Genomic DNA, 7784 nt, shown 5'->3' on the forward strand with positions numbered 1-7784 from the left:
AGTATTCCTCATGGAATACAAATGTTTTCGTTTTTCACTTATTCGGAGACGTGGGTCCATTCACTTGTTCCCCAGACCTCCTTATCACCAGTTTTCTAATCATGTTCCCTCCAGGTCCTAACTTGTGTTGTCCCATTTGTGTTGTAATTCAGCTACTCTGAGGATGAAGCTCTAGGTTTGTTTTTCAGAGAAGCAATCATTAAATGTTAATCACAGCAAAAAAAATACCTTCACAGCAACGTGTAGACTGGTGTTTGACCAAACCCCTGGGGACCAGAGTTGAGCCAAGTTGACACATAAATTAACCATCATAAAGTGGAATCAACCTAATTACTCATCAACACAAACTGGTTACATAATTGAGGACATATTCATTATGATTTATAGAGAGAATGAAGTAGATTTGTATATACTGACATGGAAAGATCTTCAATTCATATTTAGTAAAAAAGGCAAGTATCAATGCATATAATACAAGCCACTTTAAGTGAAATAAAGAAAACTGATATATACATGTACTTATATTGATATGGATGCACAGAAAAGGAACTGGAAGTGTATATACTTGTTAACAGTGGCTACCCCTGTGAAGAGGGAAGTGAGGTTATGAGAGGCCTCTCGTGTTTTCCTCCATATACTTATGGATTACATGAATATTTGACTGTAAGAGTATGTCTAACATTAAACTGAGAAACAGAGTGAAAGAGAGTTAGAGGATGACAGAGAGAGAGAGAAACTACTAGACTAGATGATCTCAAAAATGCCAACTGTAGCCGGGCGCGGTGGCTCACGCCTGTAATCCCAGCACTTTGGGAGGCTGAGGTGGGCAGATCACCTGAGGTCAGTAGGTCAAGACCAGCCTGACCTACATGGAGAAACCCCGTCTCTACTAAAAATACAAAATTAGCCAGGCATGGTGGCACATGCCTGTAATCCCAGCTACTTGGGAGGCTGAGGCAGGAGAATCGCTTGAACCCAGGAGGCAGAGGCTGTGGTGAGCTGAGATCACGCCATTGCACTCCAGCCTGGGCAAAAAGAGCAAGACTCCATCTCAAAAAAAAAAAAAAAAAAAGAAAGAAAGAAAAAAAGAAAAATGCCAGCTGTAGGGAACCTGACCTACTGGGCTGGTTCTCGGTCTCCCACTCCCTCTTTCCAGCCTCACTCTGGCTGACTCGTAAACAGGACAGATGTAAACTCATGATTTGGTAGTATACGCATTTTGCTACATTGCCTGGGGAACACAGAAATCCAGCCTGCTAAGAAAGGAAGAAGAGCAAAGCACACATGAAGAGTCCCTGAAGGAGAAAGATTCCCAATGCAGCAGAGTCTTTGCTTCCAGTCCATTACTGAGCCCTGGCTGCATCTCTGCCTCTGGTTCTGTGAGTCACCTTTAAATGCTGATAACAAATTTCCCTCTTTGACTTTAAGTTGATTTTATGCTGTTCTCCTACTTGTAACCAAGTGTTTTAACTAACTGCAGATTTTTTTTTTTTTTTTTGAGACGAGTCTCGCTCTTTGGCCCAGACCGGACTGCAGTGGCGCTATCTCCACTCACTGCAGGCTCCGCCTCCCCGGTTCCCGCTATTCTCTTGCCTCAGCCTCCCGAGTAGCTGGGACCACAGGCGCCAGCCACCGCTCCCGGCTAATTTATTTATTTATTTTTTTGTATTTTTTAGTTGAGACGAGGTTTCACCGTGTTAGCCAGGATGGTCTCCATCTCCTGACCCCGTGATCCGCCCGCCTCCGCCTCCCAAAGTGCTGGGATTACAGGCGTGAGCCACCGCGCCCGGCCCTAACTGCAGAAATTATACTGATTCTATGGATAATGGTGACTTTGGTCCCCTAGAGCTCAAGGAGATCCTGTCGTATACATTGTTCTCCGTAACCCCAGCACCTATGACTGAGTTCCTCCTGAAGATACCTGATACGTTAGGACAAAGTGAAGTCACCACTTGCTATCTCTTCTGTTTGTTGTTGAAAATAAACATCTAGAAATGGCTTAAAAGTGAAATGAAACCCAATAGTGCATGAATTTTTGTGAACTATCCTGGCAGGTCAGAAAAAAATGAATTAGAATTCTCATTATATTTCATACATCAGATTGGCTCTTTAAATAAGACAAAAAGCAAATTATAAAGAATCATTTTTTTATCTAGAAGAACTGGCAAATATTGTACAAATAAAGGATTTTATTGGAGAAGTCACAAGAGGCATATACTGGGTGGTACTGCTTGTATACATTATAAATAGGAGGACCTAAACTTTTTTAAATTTTTTATTTTATTTTATTTTTTGAGGTGGACTGCTCTGTCACCCAGGCTGGAGTGCAGTGGCACAATTTTGGCTCATTGCAACCTCTGCCTCCTGGGCTCAAGCGATTCTCCTGCCTCAGCCTCTGGAGTAGCTGGGACTACAGGTGCCTGCCACCACTCCTGGCTAATTTTTGTATTTTTAGTAGAGATGGGATTTCACTATGTTAGCCAGGCTGGCCTCGAACTCCTGACCTCAGGTGATCCACCCACCTCAGCCTCCCAAAGTGCTGGGATTACAGTCATGAGCCACCATGCCCAGACTTTATTTAAATTTTATTTTATTTTCAACTGAGGGGATCATGTGCATGTTTGTTGCACAGGTACATTGTGTACTGGTGGAGACTGGTCTTCTAGTAAACCCATTACCCAAATAGTGAACAGTGGACCTGATAAGTGATTTTTCAGCCCTTGATCCCCGCCCACTTTCCCTGCTTTTGGAGTCCCAGTGTCTATTATTCCCATCTTTATGTCCATGTGTACCCGTTGTTTAGCTCACTTATAAGTTTCTACTTACACTTTAGCTCCCTTGTAAGTTTAAGCTCACTAAGTATAAGTAAGAACACATGCAGTATTTGATTTTGTTTGAGTTGATTTACTTAGGATGATGGCCTCCAGCTCCACCAATATTGTTGCAAAGGACATGGTTTTATTCTTTTTTTGTGGCTGCTTTATTTTTATTTTATTTACTTTTAGAGATAGGGTCTCGCCCTGTCACCTAGGCTGGAGTGCAGTGATGTGATCATTGCTCACTGCAGCCTCAGACTCCTGGGCTCAAGTGATCCTCCCACCTCAGCCTCCCAAGTAGCTGAGACTATAGGTGTGCACCATCATGCCTGGCTAATTTTTTATTTTATTTGTAGAAATGGAGTCTCACTCTATTGCCCAGGTTGGTCTTGAACTTCAGGCTTCAAGCAGTCCTCTCACCCTGGCATCCCGAAGCACTGGGATTACAAACATGAGCCACTTCACCTGCCTAATAAGAGGACTTTGGGAGCTCATTTGCACTTTGTTTTCAGTAGGAGAAGGAAATCCAAAAGAGGATTCTTGAGGAGACCTCCTTTCTTAGTTCTGGTGGTCATTCCCATCTTGGCAAACATATAATATTATCAAACATCTTCACTCAGATCTGATAGCAATATGGTAGAGAGCCTGATAGACTCGTTATCCCTGGACAATATGATTCTGACTATCATGTGTACCTCTGTCACCCCAGGCCAGATTCTAGTAATAAACATTTCTCACTGGCACACCTGCTTACCTCTTGAAAACCCTATTTGCTCAGAGTGGTGTGGCTCGCCAGGCTGAACGATCTGCGGTCCTCCTTACCCACCATGAGAAATGCTGAGGCAGGGAAATGTGTTCGGGGCTGACCCCGGGAAGATTGTGATCCTCAGACAGGAAACCTTTTTGAGAAGGGAGATGGGAAGATGAGAACTGAGTACTGGGCTTCAAAGGGAGTTTGTGAGAGTTGGTGCCTGTCCAGTTACATATGCTCTGACAGGAATATTCCAGAATATCCCAGCAATATTCTGGGACTTTGGAGACCACACTAGAGGAGTGAGGCCTTGCCAGGTGAGGCAGAATCTTTAGGGAGCATGGCTGCTGCTGTTAGTTACTGAGAGTGAGCTGGGTCTTTTAGTCTTGGGAGGACGTTCTTCCTAATAGTAAACTGGAGAAGGGATGTGTCAACCTCTCTTTTCCCCCCTTTCTTGGGGCTAGACATTAGGGGTAGAGGTGTCCCCCCAAGAAGTTCCTTGGTGGTGAGGGTAAAGATGGTCCCCTCTGGGCCGGGCGTGGTGGCTCACTCCTATAATCCCAGCACTTTGGGAGGCCAAGGCAGGCGGATCACAAGGTCAGGAGGTCGAGACCATCCTGGCTAACACGGTGAAACCCCCATCTCTACTAAAAATACAAAAAATTAGCCGGGCGTGGTGGCGGGCGCCTGTAGTCCCAGCTACTCGGGAGGCTGAGGCAGGAGAATGGCGTGAACCCAGGAGGCGGAGCTTGCACTGAACCAAGATTGCGCCACTGCACTCCAGCCTGGGCGAGAGCGAGACTCCATCTGAAAAAAAAAAAAAAAGATGGTCCCTTCTGAGAGCACAGCCCTGGAACTAGGACCAGAGGCCTCCTTGTGGTCAGGTGTGAGCTGACGGTGAGAAAACTGACCTATACACCAGATTAACTGGGTTGTGAAAGTCTCAAGATTTATTTTCCTTTCCTTTTCTCAGATTTTAGTAAATCCCCATTTGTAGGTCTCAGCTCAGTTTCAGCTGTGTCACTGGGTTTTCTAAGAAACCAGAGACCTTTCTGTGCATGATTGGAGGAACAGCACCTTCTTGTGGTCAGTTTGAAGGTGGCAGTATTAAACATTTATTTTTATTTATTTATTTATTTTTTTGAGATGGAGTCTCACTCTTGTTGCCCAGGCTGGAGTGCAGTGGTGTGATCTCGGCTCACTGCAACCTCCGCCTCCCGGGTTCAAGCGATTCTCCTGCCTCAGCCTCCTGAGTAGCTGGGATTACAGGTGCCTGCCAACACGACCAGCTAATTTTTGTATTTTTAGTAGAGAGGGGGTTTCGCCATGTTGATCAGGCTGGTCTCGAACTCCTGACCTCGTGATCTGCCTGCCTCAGTCTCCCAAAGTGCTGGGATTATGGGCGTGAACCACCACGCCCGGCCCAACATTTATTAAAGAAGGTATCAGTGCCTTGTGGAGCTGTATAAGACTAGAAGTTTATACCAGGGCTATGGTGTCCATCTTGGCCTGCTGGAAGTAGTAACCGCAGACTCTAAGTGGTTTGAACTCTGATTCTCCACAGCCAAGGCAGCTGGAGCTGGGGTCATCCCATCCAGCACATCCAGGTGGCCACTGGGATTCCCTGCAGGAGTCAAAATTCCCTGCAGCATGGGACATTGAAGGCCAAAGGGCTCCCTCTGGCCTCTGAGGAGAGTAACTGGAGGCCAAACTGAAAGGTTTGCGGGGACCCAGACAGGCCAGTGTAAAATTAGCTCTAATTTATGGGGGTGCCCCAGCACACTGGGCTCACCAGAAAATCCCTGCTACTTTTGCTTTATTTGTTGCTGTGATGACTAAGGTTTGAAGGAGGAAGAAGAACCATCAGGTAAACAAAGCACAGTTGAGGAACTGTGAGAGGGAACTGAGGGCCTGAACTTCACCTGGAGAAAATATCCCAAGCAAACCAAAAGCAGCTTGAGATGGGATGTCGTGAGTGGAGCAATAAAAGAGACAATGGAAACATTTCCCTCCCTTGGAATGGTCAGCAAGCAGGGCTCACAGATGCTGGGCTGCCAGTCGTGGGCAACCCTGCTCTGGTGCACCCCCAGGAAGCACATGAAGCTGAGGGGCCAAGGTCATTCATTCAGCCTTTTAAAGATCTTGCCTTCAGGTAGAGCACAGGAACAGTGGGTAGTATATGAGTGACACCAGACACTGCATTTAACGAATAAAGGGAGGGTAAACACTTCTGCCATCTGTCTCTTCCTATGTTCCAATTCCATTCTTACTCCTTGTTCTGGAGTGGTGTCGTGAGGCTCTCAAGGCACACTCCGACCATGTGCTCTTCCAAGGAATGCCTGCCCAAATGGCTCACTCCTGCCCTGGACATTCGACAAAACCAGTCCTGCTGCCCTGGCTGGGGACTGAGCTGGATTCAAAGGCAGCCCTGTGTCAAGTGATTCTGAGGGGTTGCTTGGGGATAAACCACTGCCCCATAAGAGTGCTCTGCCTGGGAAGCCAGAAAATGGACCCAATCCCATCTCCTAGAACTCTTGGAAAATATAGGTTCTATTTATGGCAAGTACAGGTTCTCCCATAAAGGGCAGGTCATGGGTCAAACAACGATGGTTCATGTTTCCTGCAATGTCTCCTGAATATCTTCACAAAGTACTAATCTGAGTGGCTGCTGAGTTATTTGATTGAATGAATTTTTTTTTTTTTGAGACTGAGTCTCACTTTATTGCCCAAGCTGGAGTGCAATGGCATGATCTCAGCTCACTGCAACCTCTACCTCCCAGGTTCAAGTGATTCTCCTGCCTCAGCCTCCCGAGTAGCTGGGATTACAGGCATGTGCCACCACGTCCAGCTAATTTTTGTATTTTTAGCAGAGATGGAGTTTCACCTCGTTGGCCAGGCTGGCCTCAAACTCCTGACCTCAACTGATCCACTCGCCTCAGCCTCCCAAAGTGTTGGGATTACAGGCGTGAGCCACTGTGCTCGGCCTTGAATGAACTTCTGATGCCTCCTCCCATCCACATGTACTCTGATGTACCATCACCTGAGTGTGACTGTTCCTTACGCATCTAAGAAGCCCAATTAATTCCTGCCAAAGGGGGGAGATTCCCTCCCTGCCAACCCCCGCCACTGCGTGCCGTGTGGTGCCATCTACGCTGAGGGACCATGTTTGAGGGAGGAGGCGCGGAGTCTCCAAGCGCTCTCACTCAAACGCCCGCACAGGGCCCTGAGCTTCCTTTCAGTTTGGTGAAGCTTTGTTCAGTTCTGTTCCTCCTCAAAGATAGGGTATTAACGTCCGATTGCTGTTGCAACAAACTACACAAACTCAGTGGTTTAAAACAACACAAATTTGTTCTTAGAGTTCTGGAGGTCAGAAGTCTGCAATCAGTTTCATTTGGCTAAAGTCCAGGTGTTGGCGGGGCCGGCGCCCCAGGAGCTATGAGGGGAGAATCGATTTTCTTGCTTTTTCAGTTTCTAGTGGCTACCTGCATTCCTCGGTTTGTGACTTCTTCCCTACATCACTACAATGTTTGCTTCCATCATTGTCACATCTCCTACTATTCACTGTGATCTCCTGCCTTCTTTTATAAAGATCTTTGTGATTACAGGCTAGGCGTGGTGGCTCATGCCTGTAATCCCAGCACTTTGGGAGGCCTAGATGGGTGGATCATGAGGTCAGGAGATCGAGACCATCCTGGCTAACACGGTGAAACCCCATCTCTACTAAAAATACAAAAAATTAGCCGGCCTAGTGGCGGGCACCTGTAGTCCCAGCTACTCAGAAGGCTGAGGCAGGAGAATGGCGTGAACCCAGGAGGCGGAGCTTGCAGTGAGCCGAGATTGCGCCACTGCACTCCAGCCTGGGTGACAGAGCGAGACTCCATCTCAAAAAAAAAAAAACTTAGTGATTACCTTGGGTCCACCTGGATAACCCAGGCTAACCTCCCCATCTCAAAATCCTTAACTTAATCACAACTGCAATGTTGGGAACAGGCCCCCAAAATGTGGCCATAAACTGGCCCCAAAACTGGCCATAAACAAAATCTCTGCAGCACTGTGACATGTTCGTTATGGCCATGATGCCCACGCTGGAAGGTTGTGGGTTTACTGGAATGAGGGCAAGGAACACCTGGACCACCCAGGGCAGAAAACCGCTTAAAGGCGTTCTTAAACCACAAACAATAGCATGAGTGATCTGTACCTTAAGGACATGCTGCTGC

General features: G+C 46.8%; 1 annotated feature.

Moving 5' to 3' along the window:
- Positions 4310-4810: an enhancer, noted in NCBI's record as "H3K4me1 hESC enhancer chr9:99428933-99429433 (GRCh37/hg19 assembly coordinates)". NCBI's record gives its function as "activates a minimal SCP1, AML or CMV promoter by ChIP-STARR-seq in naive and primed H9 embryonic stem cells {active_cell/tissue: H9 hESC(naive and primed)}" and the evidence as "EXISTENCE:reporter gene assay evidence [ECO:0000049][PMID:30033119]".

This window comes from Homo sapiens, chromosome 9, assembly GCF_000001405.40.
Source record: "Homo sapiens chromosome 9, GRCh38.p14 Primary Assembly".
In the NCBI taxonomy this organism is placed as follows: domain Eukaryota; kingdom Metazoa; phylum Chordata; class Mammalia; order Primates; family Hominidae; genus Homo; species Homo sapiens.